The 24,567-nt window shown below is 53.8% G+C and overlaps 2 protein-coding genes and 1 long non-coding RNA gene across 7 annotated transcripts in view, besides 7 other annotated features; 2 read left to right on the top strand and 1 right to left on the bottom strand.

Moving 5' to 3' along the window:
• Positions 1,762-2,455: an enhancer, noted in NCBI's record as "H3K4me1 hESC enhancer chr13:114021393-114022086 (GRCh37/hg19 assembly coordinates)". NCBI's record gives its function as "activates a minimal SCP1, AML or CMV promoter by ChIP-STARR-seq in naive H9 embryonic stem cells {active_cell/tissue: H9 hESC(naive)}" and the evidence as "EXISTENCE:reporter gene assay evidence [ECO:0000049][PMID:30033119]".
• Positions 3,150-3,843: an enhancer, noted in NCBI's record as "H3K4me1 hESC enhancer chr13:114020005-114020698 (GRCh37/hg19 assembly coordinates)". NCBI's record gives its function as "activates a minimal SCP1, AML or CMV promoter by ChIP-STARR-seq in primed H9 embryonic stem cells {active_cell/tissue: H9 hESC(primed)}" and the evidence as "EXISTENCE:reporter gene assay evidence [ECO:0000049][PMID:30033119]".
• Positions 3,844-4,537: an enhancer, noted in NCBI's record as "H3K27ac-H3K4me1 hESC enhancer chr13:114019311-114020004 (GRCh37/hg19 assembly coordinates)". NCBI's record gives its function as "activates a minimal SCP1, AML or CMV promoter by ChIP-STARR-seq in naive H9 embryonic stem cells {active_cell/tissue: H9 hESC(naive)}" and the evidence as "EXISTENCE:reporter gene assay evidence [ECO:0000049][PMID:30033119]".
• GRTP1 (growth hormone regulated TBC protein 1) overlaps positions 5,385-24,567 on the top strand; it is a 39,986-nt gene continuing 20,803 nt past the window's right edge. For 2 of the 4 annotated variants that reach the window (NM_024719.4, NM_001286732.2), the window contains exons 1-4: positions 5,403-5,513; positions 5,623-5,771; positions 14,052-14,210; positions 18,560-18,684. In NM_024719.4, the coding sequence (NP_078995.2) occupies positions 5,482-5,513; positions 5,623-5,771; positions 14,052-14,210; positions 18,560-18,684 (465 nt within the window). In that variant the 5' untranslated portion in view covers positions 5,403-5,481. Of the gene's footprint in view, positions 5,514-5,622; positions 5,772-14,051; positions 14,211-18,559; positions 18,685-24,567 lie in introns of all 4 variants that reach the window. The other 2 variants (NM_001286733.1, NM_001411029.1) reach the window with 2 other exon arrangements.
• Positions 5,525-5,819: a silencer, noted in NCBI's record as "tiled region #43; HepG2 Repressive non-DNase unmatched - State 1:Tss, and K562 Repressive non-DNase unmatched - State 1:Tss". NCBI's record gives its function as "represses a minimal TATA promoter and a strong SV40 promoter by Sharpr-MPRA in HepG2 and K562 cells {active_cell/tissue: HepG2 | K562}" and the evidence as "EXISTENCE:reporter gene assay evidence [ECO:0000049][PMID:27701403]".
• Positions 7,665-17,860, bottom strand: GRTP1-AS1 (GRTP1 antisense RNA 1). Of its 2 annotated transcripts, NR_046541.1 has the most exons (3): positions 17,563-17,860; positions 13,412-14,367; positions 7,665-7,974 (listed from the first exon to the last, which is right to left on the bottom strand). It is a non-coding gene; the product is annotated as a GRTP1 antisense RNA 1 (long non-coding RNA). The 2 variants fall into 2 exon arrangements; NR_120385.1 differs by lacking the exon at positions 13,412-14,367.
• Positions 18,639-19,299: an enhancer, noted in NCBI's record as "H3K4me1 hESC enhancer chr13:114004549-114005209 (GRCh37/hg19 assembly coordinates)". NCBI's record gives its function as "activates a minimal SCP1, AML or CMV promoter by ChIP-STARR-seq in naive H9 embryonic stem cells {active_cell/tissue: H9 hESC(naive)}" and the evidence as "EXISTENCE:reporter gene assay evidence [ECO:0000049][PMID:30033119]".
• Positions 19,300-19,960: an enhancer, noted in NCBI's record as "H3K4me1 hESC enhancer chr13:114003888-114004548 (GRCh37/hg19 assembly coordinates)". NCBI's record gives its function as "activates a minimal SCP1, AML or CMV promoter by ChIP-STARR-seq in naive H9 embryonic stem cells {active_cell/tissue: H9 hESC(naive)}" and the evidence as "EXISTENCE:reporter gene assay evidence [ECO:0000049][PMID:30033119]".
• Positions 20,609-20,774: a silencer, noted in NCBI's record as "fragment chr13:114003074-114003239 (GRCh37/hg19 assembly coordinates)". NCBI's record gives its function as "represses an EF-1alpha promoter that drives an FKBP-Casp9 reporter gene in an ReSE screen in HepG2 liver carcinoma cells {active_cell/tissue: HepG2}" and the evidence as "EXISTENCE:reporter gene assay evidence [ECO:0000049][PMID:32094911]".
• LOC124903217 (MAGE-like protein 2) lies at positions 21,282-24,567 on the top strand. The gene is made up of 2 exons (XM_047430838.1): positions 21,282-21,717; positions 22,548-24,567. The coding sequence occupies exons 1-2, from the start codon at positions 21,355-21,357 to the stop codon at positions 23,661-23,663; spliced, it is 1,479 nt and encodes a 492-aa protein (XP_047286794.1). The 5' UTR covers positions 21,282-21,354; the 3' UTR covers positions 23,664-24,567.

The following is a 24,567-nucleotide window of genomic DNA, read 5'->3' as shown; positions in this document are numbered from 1 at the left end:
TGCGGCTGAGCTCGGGGCCGACTCTGCCCAGGCCCACTCGACGTCTGGGCCTTCCCCACGCGGCGTGGCCACAGCCCGCTTCTCCTGGACAGCCGCTCATCACCCTCGTCCCAGCAAGATCAGGTCCGCACGCTCTGGCTCAGGCCTCCAACACAGGGCAAAGGGAAGGCGGGAGGCGCAAAGGGACGGCCCAGAGCCGGCCTGCGCCGCTGGATCTGCAGACTGGGCGCTTGTCTCCCCACCTCCCTGCATGCACCCCTGCTTGCTTTCAGGCAGGAGGGTCTGTGGGTCGGGGGAGTCAGGTGATGCTTCGCACACGAAGTCCTGCAGCCCCAGCTCCAGAGGAGGGTGGCCTCTGGCCCAGAAGCTAGGACTCACCATGGCCTGAGCTTGTTGACGCTGCCATGGTCAACGCAGCAGGGCAGGCCCCAGAAGAAGGGGGCATCCCTCCTCACCGTTTAAAGCAAATTATCAAACAGACACAAAAATCTCCTCAGTCAGTCATCTTCAAAGAGTTCCATCTTGTTGCTTTTTTTTTATTTTTAATCTACCCTCTGCTTTTTTTTTCTTTGCTGGAGGTTTTTGTTGTTTTTTTTTTGAGACAGAGTCTCACTCTGTTGCCCAGGCTGGAGTGCAGTGGTGTGATCTGGGTTCACTGCAACCTCCACCTCCTGAACTTTCGATCCTCCTGCCTCAGCCTCTCGAGTAGCTGGGATTACAGGCACCCACCACCACGCCCGGCTAATTTTTGTGTTTACAGTAGAGAAGGGGTTTCACCATGTTGGCCAGGCTGGCCTCAAACTCCTGACCTCAAGTGATCCTCCCACCTCGGCTTCCCAAAGTGCTGGGATTACAGGTGTGAGCCACTGTACCCTGCGTGCTGGAGTATTTTTAAAGCCAACTCCAGACTTCATATCATTTTACCCATAAGTACTCTTCTCTTTTGTCAAATAAAAAACAAATCAGGGCCATGCACAGTGGTTCATGCCGGTAACCCCAGTGCTTCGGGAGGCCGGGGCAGGAGGACTGCTTGAGCCCAGGAATTTGACACCACCTAGGCAACATAGCAAGACCCCCATCTCTACAAAAACTAAAAAATTAGCCAGGTGTGGTGGCACATGCCTGTGGTCCTAGCTACTCAGGAGGCTGAGGTAGAAGGATCACTTGAGCCCGGAAGTTCCAGGCTGCAGTGAGCCAAGTTCACACCACTGCACTCCAGCCTGGGTGACAGAAAAAGACCCTGTCACAAACCAGAAAAAAAAAAAAAAAAAAGCAAATCTCCAATGCGTAGAAGCAGAAAGTAGAAGAGTGGTTGCCAGGAGCAATAAATAAATAAATTGAGAGCGTTTTAAAAAATCTAGACTTGGTACTGTTTCTGAAAGGATGATTGCAAGTGTGTCAGACCGGTGAGGTCTCAAGAGTTGGGCAAAACGCGGTTTTCTTGTGTGCAGTGGAGCAGCAGGTGTGGGGAGGGGGGGTGGGGGGCCTGTTGACCAGGCAGCAATGCGAGAAAGCTGCATCTGAACCCCTGCCCAGGCTGAGGCTGGGCACGCAGTCAAGGCCCTGGTAGAGACTTAACCAGAACTGGTCACTGGGCCCATGGTCAGGGCCCTGGAGGAGACTTAACCAGAACTGGTCACTGGGCCCACGGTCAGGGCCCTGGAGGAGACTTAACCAGAACTGGTCACCAGTGTATTTGGTTCCAATTAGAACAACAGTTCAGTTACATATTTATGAGGCAAAAGACAGGACTTTGGAGGATGTGTCCAGCCTTGTCACAGGTAAATAAGGGACATCATGAATCTCATCTTTGTCACCTGGGGACAGGGTTCTGAGCTGTTTCCAGAACATAAAGGGGGGGACTTCCTAACCTCCCAGGATCATAGGGCTCAGGTAAAGCTTATCTGTCAATTTTCCTTAAAAATAATCATTACTGTTATATATTATTATGTATGTATATACACACACACCTCAGATGAGGGCTTGACTCTCCCTGAAATATTAACACACCCTTTCCACCTATAACATTGCCCCCTCGCCGCCGATTTCTGTCTCCAGCCCTCTGCTGAAAATCAGGCCACGGGTTCCACAGCCTGGCTGCACAATGCGGTCCATGGGCCAGAGCAGGGCCTCCTGCTAGCAGGTTGGAAATGCAGCGTCCCAGTCCCCAGCCAGCTCTGCAGCACCAGGACCCACAGGTCTCTGGCAAGACCTGTCCTCCCCTCAGGGCTAGAGTCGCACTGCACTGGAATTTCCTGCAGTGAGATTTGGGTGACCCTCCCCACTCCCAGTTGCCCGTCTCCTGTAACCAGGCAGCATGTGGTCAATTGACTGGCTTCAGCCTCCAGGACAGCCTGGAGCTCCGTGGGGTTTGGCACATGCTGTGGCTCCACGAAGATGCCCACGTCATGGTTCATCACTGCTCGGTGGGTTCTGCTGCCGTTATCTTTGTCCTCTGTACTCACATCCCATTTTCTCAGGTCCTCCCGGCCTTGGGGATGCTAGACGTTCCTTCTATCTTGATGGGCACCCCAGAACTGAAGTACTCCTGAAGCCCTTCTAACTTCCAAAGGGCAGCAGCTTCTACAAAAAAAGCAACAAGGGCCAGGCACAGTGGCTCGCGCCTGTAATCCCAGCACTTTGGGAGGCCAAGGTGGGCGGATCACCTGAGGTCGGGAGTTCGAAAACAGCCTGGCCAACATGGAGAAACCCCCGTCTCTACTAAAAATACAAAATTAGTTGGGCGTAGTGGCGCATGCCTGTAATCCCAGCTACTTGGGATGCTGAGGCAGGAGAATCGCTTGAACCCAGGAGGCGGAGGTTGCAGTGAGCCGAGATTGAGCTATTGCACTCCAGCCTGGGCAACAAGAGTGAAACTCCGACTCAAAAAAAAAAAAAAAAAAAAGCAACAAGACGGCTGAATTCCTGAAGGGAGGAGGGGCATCATGGGTGGTGACCCCACAGAGGCCCCCTGGTGTGGCCCCTGAGGCCCCTCAGACTGAAGAGGGCCTCCTGCAAGGGAGCTGGGTCCCCCGGGGGAGGGTGAATTCTGAGTCCCTGAACTGCAGGGCAAGCTGACCCAGAGCTCCAGCACTGCAAAGCCTCCCCCGGAAAGGGCTGTCTGGAGCGGCTGTGGCCAGCACAGTCACTCCTGGGGTGGGTGTGCACCTGGCTTTTGCATCATGGCTGACTGTGCTGGTGGCTTCACAGAAAGGGAGTTTGTGTGAGGATGCTCGGGTGCCTGCTGGGTGCTTGGCACTGGGGTCGGGGGGGCGGTGAATGGAGGCACCTGAGGGACACAGTCCCAGGTGGGAGCTGTCCCAGGTGGGAGCTGTTCCAGATAGGAGCTGCTGTCTCCCAGTCAGGTCCCAGGTTGGGGCTTGGCCAGGCCTGGGCTGGAGCGGGAGACCTTTCTAGCTGCCTCGGTCTGGCTGCCCACCCTGCACAGAGCCTGGGGCTCTGGCCTCTCTGTATCTCTCCTCTCCACTCTTCCTGGAGGGCACCGCTCTTATCTGACCTGCTCCCCCACAGTCTCCCTACATCTGGCCCAAAAATACACTTGGTGGCAGTCCCGCCATCACACTCAGGCTCGGGAGCTGGCGGCCCCTGGTCCGTGCTGCCTGCCACGCTGCTTTCCACGGCAGTGGTGGGAAAGGGAGGTTAGAACCCCATCTCCATGGCCAGAAGGCAGGAATTAGGGAAAAGGGGAGCCGTGAGGCTTCCAGGCCTGGGGTTGGAACAGAAGCTGCGCGGTGTGGGGCGATTTGGGCGCAGGACCCCGGGTGCTGGGAAGTGGGGAGCAGGACTGTGTCTGTTGCTCCAGAAAGCGCGAGGGATGCGATATAGGAAATTCGGGCGTCAGTTAGAGCCCGAGAGGGGTTCAGGGAGTCACTGACTTAGGCAGAGAGGAGCCCAGACGGGGTTCGAAGACCCTGGGGACGGACGCCCACCTGTCAGTCCTGGACTGTGGGGCACCCGTAGGCCGAGGGGCAGGAGGCTATGGCCCTGTCTCCTGGCTTGGGTCTAAACATCCCAAGGAGGTCAGACCGTAGAGTGGGGGCTGTGTGATCTTTCAAATGAGGGACGCCGCGTGTTACCAAAGGCCAGTGCTGAGGAGCTGGGCTGAAAGCTTGGGGAGTTCCCAGAACCAGCAGACTAGGAACGGGAGGAACCGTGTCGGGGGCTCTGCTCCGCTGGGCACTGACCCCCACCCCGCCCCCCGGTCTTGCAAGGGCTGGAGAAGGGTGAAAGGCAGAGGCGGGAGTCCGCACTTAGGGACCGGTCCGTTCCACACGCTGCTGACCAGGCTCCTGGGTGGCGCTCGCATGGAACATTCCGGAAACACCCATGGGAAGGTCCCAAGTTGGTTCCGAAAGGCCCTGACGGACGCGCAGGGGACGCTGAGCCTGTGATCCTCGCCTCACCCAGACGAGGCCGGGCTGCTTCTCACAGGAAAGTGCGTCTGGAGTCCGGGGACGGCCTCCTCCTGGGGCCTGTCCAGGTCGCCCTGGGCCTAAATTACAGGCGGGGAGAGGCCTGTCGGAGGAGCCCCCGCTCCAGACCCCTGGGGGACCCAGGGCGAGGTCGCCCCAGCGCCTCACGTCTGGGGGCTCCCCTTTGCCACGTCGCCAGAGCAAAATTCAAAATCTGCAGTTCTGGCAAATTTCCGGGGCCTCCCGGACACGAAAAGCAGCTGAAATCTCAGGACAATGTCATTGGATGCGGACCGAGAAGAAGCCGTTCGGAACCAGAGCTGCCCCGGATTCTCCCAGGCCTGGCTCGCCGGTGGGGGGACCCCGGTCCCTGGTTTGGGGGGGCAGGAACGGGCGGGCGCCCCTGGGGGCTTCTCATTTGTGTGTTGGTCTCGGCCTTGAAATGCAGCGGAGAAAATAAAAAATAAAATAAAAATAGGAGTCAGGTGTCAGAGTCGGGTCGGCCAGGCACTGAGGTTTGAAGGAATCGCAGAAGAAGCTCCTCTCACCCGGGTCCAGGCCGCGGGGGTTCTGCGGGAGGCGCCCCCGATTCTGCCCGCGGGACGCCGCGGCCTCGGAAGCCCCGGGAGCAGGCCCCGCCCCGCCCCCACCCTCCTCTCTCCCCAAGTCCTCCCGCCCCCCCAGCCCCGCCCCTCCCCCGCCCTGGGTGCTCCCCTGCCCCTCCCCCGGCCCTCCCCCGCCCCTCACCCGCTCCTGCCCCTCCTCTCTCCCCAGGTCCTCCCGCCCCCAGCCCCGCCCCTCCCCCGCCCTGGGTGCTCCCCTGCCCCTCCCCCGCTCCTGCCCCTCCTCTCTCCCCAAGTCCTCCCCGCCCCCAGCCGCCCCTCCCCCCGCCCTGCCCCCCCCCGCCCCCGCCTCCAGCCCCGCCCCTCTCCGCTCCCCGCCCCGCCCCCACGCGCCCGCGGTCCCGCCGGAAGGACTTAAGCGCCCCGGAGCCGGGAGGCGAACTTGGGACCCGCTGGCCTCGCTCGGTGCGCGCCTCCCTCCCCGCATGCAGCCCGCCGAGCGCTCGCGGGTCCCCAGGTGTGTGGCGCGGGGTGCGGGCGTCCCCGGCGGCTGCGGTCCCCGCGCGGGCCCGCGACCCCCCAGAGGAAACTTCGGGGACGCCGGCCTCCTTCTCTCGGTTTTGCAGGATCGACCCGTACGGATTCGAGCGGCCTGAGGACTTCGACGACGCCGCCTACGAGAAGTTTTTCTCCAGCTACCTGGTCACGCTCACCCGCAGGGCGATCAAATGGTCCCGGCTGCTGCAGGGCGGGGGCGTCCCCAGGAGCCGGACAGGTGGGTCCCGGGGGCGCAGGTGGGTCCCGAGGGCGCAGGTGGGTTGGGCTGGGACGGGCCGGGCAAAGTCCGGGCTCCCGGAGCGGAGGGAGGGGGAGGAACCTTTCCGGGCAGGTCGGGACGAAGCTGCGGGCTCCGAGCTAGGGCAGCCGCAGGGACCGGTTTTCCCGCTTTGAGATGGGCCGGCGGGTCGGACGCGAAGGAGACCCGTCCCTCCCAGCAGGGAGCCATATCGGGATGGATCAAAACTCGATCCATGCCGGGCGCGGTGGCTCACGCCTGTAATCCCAGCGCTTTGGGAGGCCGAGGCGGGCGGATCACGAGGTCAGGAGTTTGAGACCAGCCTGACCAACATGGTGAAACCCCGTCTCTACTAAAAATACAAAATTAGCCGGGCGTGGTGGCTCCTGCCTGTAGTCCCAGCTACTCTGGAGGCTGAGGCAGGAGAATCGCTTGAACCCAGTAGGCGGAGGTTGCAGTGAGCCGAGATTGCGCCATTGCACTCCAGCCTGGGCGACAGAGCGAGACTCCGTCCTTGTGACGGGACCCACAGGGCCCTGCTCGACCTGCCGCTCCTCCGCGACCCCAGGCCTCCTACTGCTGCGGTGAGCACCGGCCTGACCGCCCGCCCGCCTCGGGGTTAGCTGCAGGGCCCCCTCCTCCGGGGCGCCCCAGGCTTCCCTGTGCGGAGGGCACCTCCTCATTTCTGCCTTTCCCAGCACAGCCCCTGCTGGAGTCAAAAACCCTTCCTCCCTGCAACGGATTTTTCATTCACTGCTCAGTCCTCAGAACCTGGGGCAGTGCCAGGCGACTTCCCTGTGTGTTCAGTGAATGAATGAAGTGTCTGCCTGGGGTGAGGGCTTGGTGGGAGTGTGCCCTGGAGCTAGGAACTCAGAGAAGTGGGGTCAAAGGGGAGTCCTGGGGGCTTCCTGAGAAGGGGGATGTGAATGGCAGCTGGGCTTCCAGGGACCGAGCAGTAGGGACCTGGTGGGGAAGGACAGAGATGAAACCAGGGGCCCTGCACCTGGGCGGAGGGTCGGAGGTGTGTGGTGACCACGGCCAGGCACAGAGAAGCCAACTGTTAAAGGTTTTCCAGGCAGGGGGTGACAAGATCAACTTTTGCTTTTATTTATTTATTTGAGACAGGGTATCCCTCTGAGTGCAGTGGCACAATCACCACTCACTGTAGCCTTGACCTCCTGGGCTCCAGCCATCCTCCCCTCTCAGCCTCCCGCATAGCTGGGACCACTGGTGTGGCCACCACTCCTGGCTAATTTTTAAATTTTTTATAGAGATGGAAGTTAATATCCTATATGCTTCCCACGAATGCATCATGTCCCATCCCTGTGGCCTCTGCATGTTCACATGTTTCCAGTGGAACGTGTGTCTTTATTTTTCCTTTTCATTTATTCTTTTTGATTTATTTATTTTTGAGACAGAGTCTCACTCTGTCGCCCAGGCTGGAGTGCAGTGGTGCGATCTCAGCTGACTGCAACCTCCACCTCCTGGGTTCAAGTGATTCTCCTGCCTCAGCCTCCTGAGTAGCTGGGATTACAGGTGCACACCACTACACCTGGCTAATTTATTTTTTATTTTCTTATTTTTTTTATTTTGAGACGGAGTCTCACTCTGTCGCCCAGGCTAGAGTGCAGTGGCATGATTTCAGCTCATTGCAACCTCTGCCTCCTGGGTTCAAGCGATTTTCCTGCCTCAGCCTCCCAAGTAGCTGGGATTACAGGCACCTACCACCACGCCAGGCTAATTTTTCTATTTTTTAGTAGAGATGGGTTTTACCATATTGGCCAGGCTGGTCTCAAACTCCTGACCTCAAGGGATCTGCCCACGTTGGCCTCCCAAAATGCTGGGATTACAGGCATGAGCCACTGCGCCTGATTTATTCTTAAAAGTTAACTGTCTTTTAATTTTAAAAAGTAACGTAAAAGTATATAAGACATGTGAACTTAAAAAGCATAATTTATGTACATGGTAAACACTTTAATCATACTGAGGGCTACAAAGTGCAACAGGGAGTTTCTCTCCCACCCATGGCCCCCATCTCCTATAGAGATGACCGCAGGGGACTGTCCTTCCGTCCCCCTCAGGAGCAGAAGTCCACGCTTGGTTCTGCAGTTTGCTTTAAGAGCAGGGGAAGTCCGTGGGAAGTCCTGTGGCTGTGACCTGGAGGTTGGTTACAGCGGAGAATCTGAAAGATGTATGGTTGTGCATAAATTTTTGTTTTTACAGAAAACACAACTGCACAGTCATTCTCCCGTCTTTGCCTTTGCCATTTGGGTCTGTCCTATTGCTGTCCTTTTCTTCGACCAGGAGCTGCTAACTTGGGTTCCATATTTTCCTTTTTAGGGAACCACTCAGCACATTGCCCCCACTTTCCAATATGGACTTGGGAGGGGGTTCTGGGAAGAGCAGGGAAAAGGAAAAGAGCAATCCGGATGCAAAATCCTCCAGATTTTTATTCTTTTCCCCACTCCTTTGCAATTATTTTACACCTAAGTCAACAGTTTTGTTTTTGCTTTTTTTTTTTTTTTTTTTTAGCATTGGTCTCTATCAACTCTTTCTAAAAATTTCATTTTGTTTTTATTGAAGTAACAACTTTCTTCTTTTTGCTTTAATTTTTTTTTTTTTTTTTTTTTTGAGTCAAAGTCTAGCTCTGTCAGCCTGGCTGGAGGGTAGTGGCGCAATCTCGGCTCACTGCAACCTCTGCCTCCCAGGTTCAAGCAATTCTCCTGCCTCAGCCTCCTGAGTAACTGGGATTACAGGCACTCGCCACCATGCCCGGCTAATTTTTGTGTTTTTAGGAGAGATGGGTTTTGCCTTGTTGGCCAGGCTGGTCTCGAACTCCTGAGCTCCAGTGATCCGCCCACCTCAGCCTCCCAAAATGCTGGGATGACAGGCGTGAGCCACCATGCTGGGCTAATTTATGTAATGTTAAGTGGACCATGTAATTATGGTAGCAAGCATCACTGGCATAAATGGGTCTGTGAGCAAATATATCTCTTTGATCCTATATGAGCCTCAGCCTGAGGGGTGGGAGCCACAGGGCTGTGGGCCTGTTCTGCAGGGAGTAGGGATGCTGGTGACTCCGGTGGGAGGCACATGGAGTCAGTGATCGCGTGTCTCTACTGGCCTGGGGCCTGGGTCCCAGTGTGACCGTCAGGGTGCCCATGAGCACTGGCAAAGCCCCAAGAGCAGAGGGTCGGGTATAAAACTGGAGTGGACGAGTTATTCCAAAAATGGGAATACCACTTCTTCCTGCCAGGTATTCCAGGCTGACAGTGATAGAGTTCTTTCCTCTCCTTTTGGAGGGTTTTCATCTGCACTCCCCATGTTAAAGTCTCCAGGAACACAATCATCTACCAATCTCAGCATTCCACATGTCTTAAGGGACAGTTATTATGTATTCTGCCTGATCACACTCTTGGTGGGTACAATAAATATTGTATTTTCCTTTTTCCATAGCAAATATCCACCAGGAGCCCTTAGGAAGACAGCTTCCTCTTCCTCCCTGGAAAGACTAAATTCAACAAACTTAGTCCTGTTGGATTCCTATTTCATTCTCCATCTCGAGAATAGACGTCTGCAGGGAAGCAGCTTCAGGGCCGTTGGCTTCTTTGAGACCTCCTTCCTGGTGGCTTAGAATATTAACACCACCTAAGTTAAATCGAGAAAACATATTTTCAAAGATACACCGAAAAACTGGGGATTTGCCTAACTTTGTCAGGGTAGACAGATGGACGTCAGTTCTCTGGATGTAGCTTCTTTTTAAAAATTTCCCAACTGTTTTGACTTGATATTTTATACTTCTCCAAACATTAGTGATGCTCTGTGCGTTAGCCCTGCCCTTGGGAAAGTGTCAGTCTGTGAGGACAAGTAAACAATTTTCTTTCTTCTATAAAGAAACAGTGTAAATCCAGATAACAAACTTATCAAAAAGTCGCAGAATTCTTTGTTCCGTGAAGCTTCCGGGTGTTGCTCCAACTGCCAGAGCTGCTCGGGGGCCTTGGGTGCAGGCTCGGTGCCTTCTGTTCACTTTACGATGAGGAAACCAAGGCACGCTCAGGGTCTGGAGCCTGCAAGTCATAGCGGAGCAGAGTGTCTGACTCCAGAGCTGGTGCATTTAGCCATTTCGACCTTTCTCTTAAATACAACCTTGATATTATTGTTATTATCGAGACAGGGTCTTGCTCTGTCACCCAGGCAGGAGGACAGTGGGACGATCATAGCTCACTGCAGCCTAGAGGAGCAATCCTCCCGCCTCAGCCTCCAGAGTAGCTGGGACTACAGGTGTGCACCACCATGCCCAGCTAATTTTTAAGGGTTTTTTTGTAGAGATGGAGTCTCCTGGGATTACAGGCATGAGCCACTGCACCTGGCCTATCAAATAATTTTAACAATTTACAGTAAAATTCACTCTTAACAGTATATGGTTCTGTGAATTTGGACAAACACGCAGCTAGGCAGTCATCACCACAGTCAAGATTCTGTCGCCTTCAACAATCCTGTCCTTTGAAGTCAGCCCACTGCTCACATCACTGAGCTCTTCCCCATTCCCGTAGTTCAGCCATTTCTATGGTGTCATTAGTGGAATCATGCAGATTGTAGCCTTTGAGTCTGGTTTCTTTCACCTAATGCGTTGGAGATCCATCCAGGACCTTGTATGTGTCAATAGTTCCTTCCTTTTTATTGCTGAGGTACTTCATTTACGGATGTACTACAATTTTTAAAAACCCATTCATCAGCAGAAGACATTTGGAATGTGTAAGCCGACATTATAAACATCCACCTACAGGTTTTTGTGTGAACTTGGTCTTCATTTATCTTGACTAAACACCGCATGGGATTGCTGGGTCGTGTGACAAGTGCATGTTTAACTAACTAGTAAGAAATTACAAACCGCCTTTCCAATGTGGCTGTAAATTTTGCATTCCCACCACAAATATATGAGTGTCCTAATTGCTCCACATTCTTGCCAGCTCTTCATATTGTTGGTGTTTTTTTATTTTAGTCATTCTTTTGTAGATGGACTATTCTGTGTGCATTAAATTTCCTTTGCATCTTTATCAAAAAGCAATTGGTTCTGTTTGTGTGGGTCTCTTTGTGGATTCCTTATCATATCCCATTATTTCATTTGTCTACCTTTTTTTCAGTACCACGTTGTCTGTCTTACTGTAGGTTTATAGTAAAGCATAAAATCAGGTAATATGTCTCCTCCAACTTCATTTTCAAAATTGTTTTGGTTCTTTTCGCTTTGCATATAAAGTTTAGAATCAGCTTGTCATTGTCTACAAAGTATTTTTTCCTGGAACAGTGATAAAGAGGTGCATATAGGAATCTGTAGATCAACTTTGGAAGAACTGACGTCTTAAGAGTGAGCCTTGCAATCTGTGAACATGGTGTATCTATTAGTTTATTTCAGTCTTATTTGATTGCTTTTGCAGCATTCAGTATTTGGATCCTGCAAATACTTCATTAGATTTTTACCTAAGTATTTCTCCTTTTATTTCTTGTTACTATTGTAAATGATGCCAATTTTATTTTTTTATTTTTATGTATTTATTTTTTGAGATGGAATCTCTCTGTGTCTCCCAGGCTGGAGTGCAGTGGTGCAATCTCAGCTCACTGCAACCTCCGCCTCCCAGGTTCAAGCGATTCTCCTGCCTCAGCCTCCCAAGTAGCTGGGATTACAGGCACCTGCCACCACGCCCGGCTAATTTTTGTATTTTTTTTAGTAGAGACGGGGTTTTGCCATGTTGGTCAGGCTGATCTTGAACTCCTGACCTCAGGTGATCCACCCGCCTTGGCCTCCCAAAGTGCTGGGATTACAGGCATGAACCACCACGCCAGGCCGCAGTTTTAAATATATGATTTCCAGGTGTTCATTATTAGTTTGTAGAAGTACCACTGGTTTTTGCATGGCCTCTCCTTTCTGCTTCTGTCCCTCTCAGTTAGAACAGTCCTTGCCTGTGCTGGGACTCACCGTCTCCTGCTGTTGTATAGCACAGAATGACTAAGAACTCATTCAGAGCATTCCTGGTCAAGCTGCCCTCTGAGGGTCATGAGACCTACAGCAAACCTCAGTATGAATCGTACTAACTTGGAGGAAAGTCAGGCTGAATTATTGGTGTCTTTGGTAGAATTTTAAAAATAAAGCAAAACATGTTTTTCATGTTCCTGTAAGCAGTGTGAATAAACCGTAAACCAAGTGTGCTGAGATGTTCTTACCTGAGACATGATCCTCAAATATGTTTCTAAACCAGAAAGAGGGTTTCTTAAGAGGGATTCTTTTTTTTTTTTTTTTTTTTGAGGCAGTGTCACTCTGTCGCCAGGCTGGAGTGCAGCGGCGTGATCTCGGCTCACTGCAACCTCTGCCTGCCAGGTTCAGGCTATTCTCCTGCCTCAGTCTGCCGAGTAGCTAGGACTACAGACGTGAGCCATCACGCCCAGCCAATTTTTGTATTTTGAGTAGAGATGAGGTTTCACCATGTTGGCCAGGCTGGTCTCGATCTCTGGACCTCAGGTGATCTGCCCACCTCGGCCTCCCAAAGTGCTGGGATTACAGGCATGAGCCACCGCGTCCAGCTAATTTTTGTATCTTTTGTAGAGACAGGGTTTCACCATGTTGGCCAGGATGGTCTCGATCTCTTGACCTCGTGATCTGCCCACCTTGGCCTCCCAAAGTGCTGGGATTCCAGGCATGAGCCACTGCGCCCGGCCCTTAAGAGGGATTCTTTGGCTTTCAGTGGATGGCATTAGTGTCTGTTTTCTCTCTCCTCTGGGTCTTCCCTCGTTGTCCTTGTATAATTCGTCACGTATTTAGTGAGCAATTACTGCCTCCCAGGTTCCCTTCCAGGAGTGGGAGGCCCAGTGGACAGACAAGGGCCTGTCCTTCCAGAGCCTGATTTTCTCAGTAATCACATAGCACATGATCATCTGCTCGTGTCCAGATGATCATACATTGTGGATCACCTTGGAATTTGAGCTCATAAAGTTTTACCCTATAGTGCTTTTCTTGACTGTAGCCTATAAAGTTATGAGTTTTTATCTGCTAAATACAGCTGGTGCCTCAGATTTTTTTCTTTTAAGGCAGCTTATAGAATTTTACAAATTGCATATGCCTTCTTTTCTTTTGTAAAGTATGGTTTCTTTTAAAATATTGGTTTCTTTTCAAATATGTGCAGGGCCAGGCGTGGTGGCTCACGCCTGTAATCCCAGCACTTTGGGAGGCCGAGGTGGGCGGATCATGAGGTCAAGAGTTCAAGACCATCCTGGCCAACATGGTGAAATCCTGTCTTTACTAAGAATACAAAAATTAGCCAGGCATGTTGGCAGGTGCCTTTAATCCCAGCTACTCAGGAGGCTGAGGCAGGAGAATTGCTTGAACCTGGGAGGCAGAGGTTACAGTGAGCCAAGATTGCACCACTGCACTCCAGCCTGGGCGACAGAACAAGACTCCGTCTCGAAAAAAATAAAATAAAATAAAATAAAATATATATAGTGTAGTATCAAAGGAAAACAGCAAAACTTTAAATATTTGCTTTGAAAATTAACTGTTTTGTAGGTTAAGAGCACAGTGTCGCAGCTTTGGACTTAACATAATTAATTCAGATGTTAGCCATACATACCTTTTCCATCTGCCTAAGAAATTACTCAGTATTGACTAATGAAGATAGCTCATGGCTTTTGGCTTCTTTCTGTCCCTATATGTTTCTGTGGCCATTAAAATTACTAATTACTTTTTCACATTTTTATTGTCAATTAAAATATCCCTACAAAATGGAGTAGCTTTCAATATATAGAGATTAACTGCACGAGTTGGACAGTGACGTCTGCCACTGAAACCGTGTTCTCCCAGCTGTGGCGTCCCACCTGAGGTGCTCACAGCTGAGCCCAGCCGGCCTCCTTGTACTCAGCTGGGCCTCTCACTGCTTTGCCCCTTTGCTGCTGCTCTGCACGGCTGCCAGGAAGCTTTGCAGAGCAGCCATCTGACCGCGGCTCTGTTTCTTGACCACCTGCATTGAATGGTGAAGTGGGCGTGGGGGCGGTTCTGTAGCCAGTCTGGTTTGTGCTCTGTTGAGAGGGAGAGGAGAGCAGAATTTTTAAAGGAGTATATGTACCAGTTTTGGTGGAGATGGACGAAGTTCTGGGTCTCTTTAATATTTGATTTAAGAAGAGAACTGGTGAGAGTGGAAAGTGTGGCAGGAACGCGTGGGCCCCGCAGGCCCCTGGTCCAGCTCACACGCTGTCCGTCCTCTCGGCCTTCAGTGAAGCGCTATGTCCGGAAAGGGGTCCCGCTGGAGCACCGTGCCCGCGTCTGGATGGTGCTGAGTGGGGCCCAGGCGCAGATGGACCAGAATCCCGGCTACTACCACCAGCTTCTCCAGGGAGAGAGAAACCCCAGGCTGGAGGACGCCATCAGGACAGGTGAGGCGGTGGGGGTCGAGCTCTGGTGCAGGGCCCGGGGGCCGGAAGGAACCGGTTTCCACCCAGTGTCTAGCCTCAGCGTCCAGGGGTGAGCGGTGCGCCTGCTGCTTTTAACTTGAAGTTACGTCTTCCTCCATGAAAGAATCAAAACTGAAGCCTTTGCAAGGGGAGAACAATGATCGTAATTCACTCAGCAGATATTCACGTGCCTAGCTGGCTAATAAGAAAATGGGCATGAAGGAGCAGATGCGCTCCATGAAGACTCGCGGGACAGGGAGAGGCGGCCTCTGTTGCCGGTGCGCTTCGCACCGGGCACTGTTCACGCGGCCTTCGGACGCAGCTGCGCTCATGAGGCCGCACACCAGGGCTTCCTTTTTTGTATCTGGTTATCATAATTGCTGGACTCCCTTCTCCTCTGATTTTTCTCAGTAATCACATAACCATAGGGTCCCTGGCTCTCAGAAGTTCAGAGTGCTAACAAAATTGATTAACCTAAGGCCGGGCGCGGTGGCTCACGCCTGTAATCCCAGCACTTTGAGAGGCTGAGGAGGGCGGATCACCTGAGGTCAGGAGTTCGAGACCAGCCTGCCCAACATGGTGAAACCCGGTCTCTACTAAAAATACAAAATAGCCGGGCGTGGTGGCGCATGCCTGTAATCCCAGCTACTCGGGAGGCTGAGGCAGGAGAATCGCTTGAACCCGGGAGGTGGAGGTTGCGGTGAGTTGGGATTGCACCACCGCACTCCAGCCTGGGCAACAAGAGTGAAACTCCATCTCAAAAAAAAAAAAAATATTGGTTAACCTAAATTGAATAGATTTTTAGAAAGTACATCTGCCCTTCTGATTTTAACAGTTTTTGAGAAATACACATTTAAACACAATATACTTAATTTTAAAAAACCCAGTGGCTTTAAAGTGCTGAGAGGTTAGAAAGACGGGACGGGGAGGACATGGTGCATCCTGCTGCCCTTCCTGGGGGTCTCCTGTCCACGGGGCTGAGCCAGTGGGGAGGGGGCTCCCAAGGCTGGGAGCTGGGGCTGCCAGGGGAGAGGCTGCATCCTGACCACAGAGTGATGGCCGCCAAAGGTCTCCAGTGCACAGCCTGGCGGCCAGAAACGCTGATTCAGGGTGGGAAGAGGAGAGCTTGGGTGCAGTGGGTGGGGGTGCATATTAAAACAGCACTGCTGTCTGAAAAATGCATTTAAAGTCTCTGTTTTGTGGTTTTTTGGATGAATTTTTTTATTTTTTATGACAGGTGTCAGTCTGTTACCCAGACTGGAGTGTAGTGGTGCGGTCACAGTGACAGCTCACTTCAGCCGTGACCTACCAGGCTCAAGCGATCCTCCTGCCTCAGCCTCCTGCGTAGCTGGAAGTGGTCTGAACCACAGGTGTGCACCACCACACCTGGCTCATTTTTTAATTTTTATTTTTTTGCAGAGATGGGGTTTTGGTCTTGAACTCCCGGGCTCTGAGGATTCGCCCTCCTTCACCTCCCAAAGTGCTAGGGTTACAGGAGTGAGCCACCCACCTGGCTGAATTGTTTTTTAAATTATGGTAAAATATGCCTAATATAAAATTTACCATTTCATTTTCCCAAGCTGAAGCTCTTGGGAGCTTCCCCATTGTTAAGCACTGAACCCCATGTCCTCACCCAGCCCCTGGCAATCCCGCTGTGCGCTTGTCTCTGTGCCATCCCCATTGTCAAGCACCGACCCCCGTGTCCTTGCCCAGCCCCTGGCAGTCCCACTGTACGCTTGTCTCCGTGCTTTGGCAACTCCAGGGTCACATAAGAGGAGTCCCGTGGGCTGCGTCCTCTGCAGCTGGGGTCCTTTCCCTCGCCTCAGTCCTCAGGGATCCTCTGTACTGCATCTTGTGTGACAATTTCCTCCTTCTTTAAGGGTGAATAATATTCCACGCATGGGCAGACTACATTTTGTTCATTTATCCATCTATCAGTGGACCCCTGGGCTCTCCTGCCGCACGGCTGTTATGGGTGGCATGGCCGTGAGCCTGGGTATGTGGATTCTGCTGGGTCCCTGCTTTCAGCTGTGGGTTCCTACCCAGAGTGTGGATTCTGCTGGGTCCCTGCTTTCAGCTGTGGGTTCCTACCCAGAGTGTGGGGCTGGGCCCCTGCTTTCAGCTGTGGGTTCCTACCCAGAGTGTGGGGCTGGGTCCCTGCTTTCAGCTGTGGGTTCCTACCCAGAGTGTGGGGCTGGGTCCCTGCTTTCAGCTGTGGGTTCCTACCCAGAGTGTGGGGCTGGGTCCCTGCTTTCAGCTGTGGGTTCCTACCCAGAGTGTGGGGCTGGGTCCCTGCTTTCAGCTGTGGGCTCCTACCTAGAGTGGACTCTGCTGGGTCCCTGCTTTCAGCTGTGGGCTCCTACCCAGAGTGTGGATTCTACTGGGTCCCTGCTTTCAGCTGTGGGCTCCTACCTAGAGTGTGGGGCTGCTGGATCCATGACAGTTCTGTGCTTAGTAATTGGAGCCACCTGGTCAGTTATCTTTCAGGAGCCATGCAGTGGATGGTCCAGTCCCACAGAGCCAATGCCAGGCCACGCAGTGCAGACAGAAAGCTCCCATGCTCTTCTGTCTCCACAATGGAGATGGAGCCATCTCCTTTCCCACAGGATGTTATCAAAACATATCAAGAAACTTAGTGTGGTGGCTCACGCCTGTAATCCCAGCACTTCGGGAAGCTGAGGCAGGCGGATTAGTTGAGCTCAGGAGTTCAAGACCAGCCTGGCCACCATGGCAAAACTCTGTCTTTACAAAACAATACGTAAATTAGCCCAGGCATGGTGGTGTGTGCCTGTAGTCTCAGCTACTCAGGAAGCTGAGGTGGGAGGATCGCTTGAGCCCTGGAGGTCGAGGATGCAGTGAGCCGTGATTGCACCTCTGCACTCCAGCCTGGGTGACAGAGTGAGACCCTGTGTTAAATATATATATAAATATATATATATATATAAAATATATATAAATATATATATAAAATATATATAAAAATATATATAAAATATATATAAAATATATATAAATATATATAAATATATATAAAAATATAAAAATATATAAATATATATAAATATATATATAAATATAGAAAACTCAATAAAAATATTACATATAAATGAACACAGCTGGTCACTCTAGTCTGAAATAGCAAAAATACTAACTTCCCCTTGACTGATTCCATTTTTTGGAATGTTTAGAATTCCAGAAAAAAAAAAAGGCTCTTTTGTAAGAAAACACACAATGAGAAATAATGTGCTCTGAGGCATTGAACTAATGTTGGCCCAAATCTAGTTTTTTGTAAGCAAAGATAAGGCCTGGGGCCAGAGGTCGGAAACAGACTTACAGTATTTTGCAGCCGTTGTGGAGAGACCACAGGCGGTTGGGTTCCTCCAGAGCTGGGTGTACACCCATCTCAGCGTCATGGCTGGCGGGGACTGCTGTGAGTCCATCTTGGAACTTGTGCAGAAAGCGGCTGTCTGCTGGTGACCGCATGGGGTGCCTGGCGAACACCTCTAACAGAGGTAGGGCCAGTGGGAGCAGAAACCAGTGGAGTTGTCAAGCCGGCATTATCCTTCCTGCTCGGCTTGTGTCCAGGGTTAACGCGGAGGTCAGCTTCAGTGAGGCCTGGCACTTGGTCAGCGTGAGGCTTGGTTAGTCTCAGGGACCCACGTGGTATCCGGGTCCCCCAGCACTAAACAGCTTGGCCAAGGCCACACTGTCCTGCCAAGAGATGCCTGGGCGGGACAGTGGGAGGGGTTGGTGCTGAGGAAGGAAGAGGCCGGCAGGGATGCCTCCTGCACACACAAGCTGACAACTCGAGGTTTATTCAGTTCTCAGCTCTCAGCTCTCAGCCGTGTCCTTTATCTCTGAGGAGTCTCAATTTATTCTGTCTCCTTCTGTTTTGGATCTTTGAAATTAGGAAAACACCTCAAAGTTTTGTGTGCATTTCTCTCCACCTGTCACCCTGGGTCCTCGAGGCAGAGTTGCCTCCGCTACGCGCGAGGTCCGAGGTGCAGGAGGCCTGTGCTGGGGGCCGGGAGGAGACGGGCATTGAGGAGGGAGTGCCATGGCCTGGCCACCAGCTCTGGGGTCGCTCTGCTGTCCCTGACTCTGCGGGAAGGACGGTTAGGGCCCCTCTCCGCCCCGAGTTCAGGATCACCCCCTCCTTCCTGGCCCAGTGAGCCTGTCGCTCTGGCTGTGTTGAGTCTGCTGTGCGGCCAGGGTGAAAACCAGTCCGTAAGTCCCAAGTGGAACCCAGGTGGCCACCCTCGGGGCAGCTGGAGGGGTGGGAGGCTTGTGGAACAGAAACCCGTGGGTGATTCCTTCTGAATTTCCCACAGACCTGAACCGGACCTTCCCCGACAACGTGAAGTTCCGGAAGACCACGGACCCCTGCTTACAGAGGACCCTGTACAATGTGCTGCTGGCATATGGGCACCATAACCAGGGAGTGGGCTACTGCCAGGTGAGCCTCGGGACCCTCTGACGCCATGAGGTGGCTGTGAGGACAGGTCTGTCCACAGCTGCAGGCTCGGCAGTGACGGCCTCACGTCTCTGTCAACCCTGTTCATGAATTCCACGTCCTGATGCCCCATTGAGGCTCGGACGCCATTTCCCAGCAGGGAGGACAGGGAGCAGCAGCCGACGACCTCATTCCGGCCTCAGGTGGCGGGAGGAGAATCAGCACGGGACACAGAGGGCGAGTGCTGTGGGGTGCGTGCGCTGTGGGGTGTGTGTGCTGTGGGATATGTGTGCTGTGGGGTGTGTGTGCTGTGGGGTGTGTGTGCTGTGGGGTGTGTATGCTGGAAGGCATGTGCACCATGGGGTGTGTGTATGGGATATGTGTGCTGTGGGTGCGTGCGCTGTGGGGTGCGTGCGCTGTGGGATGTGTGTGCTATGGGGTGCATGTGCTGTGAGGTGTGTGTCGTCCTCTGAGGCCACTCCCAGAGTGTCTGCTGTCTACACTGTCATCCCCTGGCTGGCTCCGTGGTGTGAACCAGCAGCTGCAGTTGGGAGAGTCCTTGCGCCTCCCGGAGGCCACCTAGCTGGGCGCATATTAAGGGCATTGCTGTTAGTAACTAGTGGAGTGAACAGGCCGGAATGCAGGGCAACCAGGAGCCGTGCAGTCTCCCAGCCTGTGTGTCCTGCCTGGGCCTGTCGCTGGTGGTGCTGTTCCAGTCTGTCTGAGCTCGCCGAGGGCAGGGCAGGCATCTGGGCAGGGCTGGCCTCCACGAGGGTTTCCAGGTGTGCGCACAGCCCGTGACTGCCTGTGAGTCCCCGTGGCTGAGAGCCTGGAGCCCACGGCTGCCACCGGGATTGGAGAGTGCGTTCCTGGCATTTTAGGCCATGTGCTTCACGGGCTCCTAGGGGTTGTGGCTGGCTTAAACGTTTCTAGGAGGACAGGGAAGGACATCGTCGCGATGGGTGGTTCGAACCTAGCAGTCCCAGTGATGCCCCCAGAAACTTCCTGTAGGAGCCGGGAGCCAGGCGTGCACCAACCAGAAAATGCAGTTTGAGTGAACGTTTGGAGGAGTGTGGAGCCCCTGCCTGGACAGCCCTGGGCCTGGCACCTGGCAGAGTGAATGCTCCCGAGGAGAAAGGGTGGACGTTGCGTGAGGAGCGCCCTGTGAAAGGCCAGCAGCAGAGCCACGGGACCACGCTGTCCTCACCAGCTGTTCCACGTGCTGTGCGTGTGTGGCTCTGTAGCTGGCTGGCAGTGCCGTGTCGGGTGAAGCTGGGAGAGTCCCTCCTTTGCAGACAGAATTCCTGCCATTCCTCACTTTTATGACTGTCCAGGAGCAAGAACGTGGCCTTCTGGAGTTGAGGTAGAATGGGCAAGAAATCCTCTACATCATTCTATTTACTGCTCCTTTGTGTTTTAAAAACAGCTTTATTAAAATGCATACACCAGCCTGGGCAAGGTGGCAAGACTCCATCTCTACAAAATATTTTTAAAAATTAGCGGGGTGTGGTGGCACACGCCTGTGGTCCCGGCTGCTCGAGGGGCTGAGGTGAGAGGGTCGTTTGGGTCTGGGAGGTCAAGCCTGCAGTGAGCCATGTTGGCACCACTACACTCCAGCCTGGGCAACAGAGCAAGACCCTGTCTGAAAAAAACCGAGAAACAAACAAAAAAAAACACCACCCACCTGGGTGGCCCTTGCCTATAATCATGCACTTTGGGAGGTCAAGGCAGGAGGATTGTTTGCTTGAGGCCAAGAGTTCAAGACCAGCCTGGGCAATAGAGCAAGACCCCATCTCTATTCTTAAAAAACAAGGCACAAACACAATGTTACATACTAACAGAATGCCAGAGCACAGCTGGCTTTTGGAACCTACAGGCACATACGTACATGTGTGTGCGGAGATGTGCACCTGTTAGCTTGCTGTGGGCCCCTAAGGAAATGCCACAGCCTGGTAAACAGTGGAAACGAATTCTCTCTCAGCTCTGGAAGCTGTGCATCAGAGGTCGCGGCATCTGCGGGGCAGGTGAGGTCGCGGCGTCTGCGGGGCGGGTTCTTTCTGAGGCTGTGACGGACGGACTGTCCCAGGCCTTGCCCTGGTTCTGCTGGTTCCTGGCAGTCCTGGGTGCCCCTCGGCGGGTGGCATCACTACTCCAATCTCTGCCTCCATCTCCATGTGCGTTCTCCTGTGCATGCCTGTGTCTAAAGCTCCACGTAAGACAAGGACACCAGGCTTGGATAGGGCCCACCAACTCCTCCATGACCCCATCCGTAATGACATCTGCAACAGTCTTTTTCCCAAACAAGGTCCCAATCTGAGGTACTAGGGGTTAGGACTTCAACAGATGAATTTTGGGGCGGGCAACACAGTTCAATGTGTGGCATATGTGTAGAGTTACACAGTGCACACGGTCTCGCTCTGTCACCCAGGCTGGAGTGCAGTGGCGTGATCTCGGCTCACTGCAGCCTCAACCTCCTTTGCTCAAGCGATTTTCCCACCTTGGCCTCCTGAGTAGCTGGGACCACAGGTGCGCCACCACGCTCGAGTAATTTTTGTATGTTTTGTAGAGATCGGGGTTTTGCCACATTGCCCAGGCTGGTCTTGAACTCCTGAGCTCAGGCGATCCTCCTGCCTCTACCTCTCACAGTGCTGGGATCCCCCACTGTGCCTGGCTATGTTCTGCTTTTTCTCCACGATGATCACCCACCTGCATTTCCATGTGTCCACACTGTCCACATGGTCGCCCTCTCCCAGGTCCAGTAGCACTGTCCACTCAAAGGGGTCCATTCTCAGCCACGGAGATCCTCCCGGGTCCACTCGGCCAGACAGGTCCTCCCAGGTCCGCTCAGCCACACAGGTCCTCCCAGGTCTGCTCTCGGCCACAGAGGTCCTCCCGGGTCCGCTCTCGGCCTCAGAGGTCCTCCCAGGTCCGTTCTTGGCCACAGAGGTCCTCCCGGGTCTGCTCTCGGCTTCAGAGGTCCTCCCGGATCTGTTCTTGGCCACAGAGGTCCTCCCGGGTCTGCTCTCTGCCACAGAGGTCCTCCCAGATCCGCTCAGCCACAGAGGTCCTCCCGGGTCTGCTCTCGGCTTCAGAGGTCCTCCCGGATCTGTTCTTGGCCACAGAGGTCCTCCCGGGTCTGCTCTCTGCCACAGAGGTCCTCCCGGGTCTGCTCTCTGCCACAGAGGTCCTCCCAGATCTGCTCAGCCACAGAGGTCCTCCCAGGTCCGCTCTCAGCCACAGAGGTCCTCCCGGGTCTGTTCTCAGCCACAGAGGTCCTCCTGGGTCTGCTCTCTGCCACAGAGGTCCTCCCGGATCCGCTCAGCCACAGAGGTGCTCCTGGGTCCGCTCTCGGCCACAGAGGTCCTCCCAGGTCTGCTCTCGGCCACAGAGATCCTCCTGGGTCTGCTCTCAGCCACAGAGGTCCTCCCGGGTCCACTGTCAGCCACAGAGGTCCTCCCGGGTCTGCTCTCGGCTTCAGAGGTCCTCCCGGATCTGTTCTTGGCCACAGAGGTCCTCCCGGGTCTGCTCTCTGCCACAGAGGTCCTCCCAGATCCGCTCAGCCACAGAGGTCCTCCCGGGTCTGCTCTCAGCCACAGAGGTCCTCCCAGGTCCGCTCTCAGCCACAGAGGTCCTCCTGGGTCTGCTCTCGGCCACAGAGGTCCTCCTGGGTCTGCTCTCTGCCACAGAGGTCCTCCCGGGTCTGCTCTCTGCCACAGAGGTCCTCCCGGGTCTGCTCTCTGCCACAGAGGTCCTCCCGGGTCTGCTCTCTGCCACAGAGGTCCTCCCAGATCCGCTCAGCCACAGAGGTCCTCCCAGGTCCGCTCTCAGCCACAGAGGTCCTCCCGGGTCCGCTCTCAGCCACAGAGGTCCTCCCGGGTCTGCTCTCTGCCACAGAGGTCCTCCCAGATCCGCTCAGCCACAGAGGTCCTCCCAGGTCCGCTCTCAGCCACAGAGGTCCTCCCGGGTCCACTGTCAGGCACAGAGGTCCTCCCGGGTCTGCTCTTGTCCACAGAGGTCCTCCCGGGTCTGCTCTTGTCCACAGAGGTCCTCCCGGGTCTGCTCTTTGCCACAGAGGTCCTCCCAGGTCCGCTCTCAGCCACAGAGGTCCTCCCGGGTCCGCTCTCAGCCACAGAGGTCCTCCCGGGTCTGCTCTCTGCCACAGAGGTCCTCCCAGATCCGCTCAGCCACAGAGGTCCTCCCAGGTCCGCTCTCAGCCACAGAGGTCCTCCCGGGTCCACTGTCAGGCACAGAGGTCCTCCCGGGTCTGTTCTCGGCCACAGAGGTCCTCCTGGGTCTGCTCTTTGCCACAGAGGTCCTCCCGGGTCTGCTCTTTGCCACAGAGGTCCTCCCGGGTCCACTGTCAGGCACAGAGGTCCTCCCGGGTCTGCTCTTGTCCACAGAGGTCCTCCTGGGTCTGTTCTCGGCCACAGATGTCTTCCCAGGTCTGCTCAGCCACAGAGGTCCTCCCAGGTCCGCTCTCAGCCACAGAGGTCCTCCTGGGTCCGCTCTCGGCCACAGAGGTCCTCCCGGGTCTGCTCTCTGCCACAGAGGTCCTCCCAGATCCGCTCAGCCACAGAGGTCCTCCCGGATCTGCTCTCGGCCACAGAGGTCCTCCCGGGTCTGTTCTCAGCCACAGAGGTCCTCCCGGGTCTGCTCTCAGCCACAGAGGTCCTCCCGGGTCCACTGTCAGGCACAGAGGTCCTCCCGGGTCTGCTCTTGTCCACAGAGGTCCTCCCGGGTCTGTTCTCGGCCACAGATGTCTTCCCAGGTCTGCTCAGCCGCAGAGGTCCTCCCGGGTCTGCTCTCGGCCACAGATGTCTTCCCAGGTCTGCTCAGCCGCAGAGGTCCTCTCGGGTCCACTCTCGGCCACAAAAGTCCTCCTGGGTCTGCTTTTGGCCACAGAGGTCTTCCCAGCATTTCCGTCATCAGCTCGAAGCAGTCGGTTCTTCCCAGAGCTTCCATCGTCATCTTCTGGAACATGATCTTCTCTGCACTGGTTACTTTTGCTTTTTGAGTGAAACTCTTAGGGTCTGTTTTTAAGGGGAGGTCCAGGCCAAGGGACGTGTAAGGCTGCGTGCCCGTCCTCCAGTGCTTTGGCTCCGGGTGAACAGCGCCACATCCCTGTGTGACTGAAGCCGCCGCGCTGCTGCCAGCATCGCTCTCTGCAGCTGCCCCTCCGCACTTCCGATCACGTGAATTGATCTTGTGGGCTGGCAGAAGCTGGATTCTTTTCCCTTATTACTAGAGAAATACTTACTTTAGAAATTACAAATGAGTGACAAAGAAGAGAATTTCAGTCGTGTAAAACGCAGTCACCTGGAAATGGCGCTGACTCACGGCTGCGAAGCCCCCAGGGTCTGGGGCTGCCCTCGATGGAGAGGGTCACATACGTGATGTTGGAGGCAGCACCCGCCCTTTGGCAGGTGTGCACGTGGATTTCCCAAAAGGGTCTCCACCACGAAATTCTCCTAACACCCGCGTGTCAGCACATGTTCCTTACGGTTTTATAAAATGTGGTCATTGGTATAATTTTCTCTCTGGCAGAGAGTTTCATGCTGTTGATATATAGTAATTTCTTTAGAAAGCAATGGTAAGTTATGTTCTTTTATCACAAGGTTACCATTAGTGGAAGAGTCTTTGATTTTAGTATTCAGGATTTCTTTAAACTGTTTCCTTTTGCTTTTACTTTTCACGTAAGCTTGACTAAACACATTACTAGACGGTAGGTATTTAGTGACTCTAGAGTTCTACTAAAGGATCATTCTGCAATTATGCAGGTTTTAAGGAGAAGCAAGAGAAATGGAAACTGGGTAGTTTGTAGCCGAATGATTGCAGAATCAAATGGGGGCTTAAAACTCAATGTGAATTTGTTTCTCATTTTTCTAA

The sequence above is a fragment of the Homo sapiens genome, chromosome 13 (assembly GCF_000001405.40).
Source record: "Homo sapiens chromosome 13, GRCh38.p14 Primary Assembly".
Lineage (NCBI taxonomy): Eukaryota > Metazoa > Chordata > Mammalia > Primates > Hominidae > Homo > Homo sapiens.
Note: the sequence above shows the minus strand (reverse complement) of the source record. Positions and strands in the feature narration are given on the sequence as shown.

Excerpts from the sequence above, each read along its gene's own strand:
- LOC124903217 (XM_047430838.1), top strand. The coding sequence starts at position 21,355 with ATGTTCTGCTTTTTCTCCACGATGATCACCCACCTGCATTTCCATGTG. Across the intron at positions 21,718-22,547 it reads GTCTGCTCTCTGCCACAGAG|GTCCTCCCGGGTCTGCTCTC; the intron begins GTCCTCCCAGAT and ends TCAGCCACAGAG.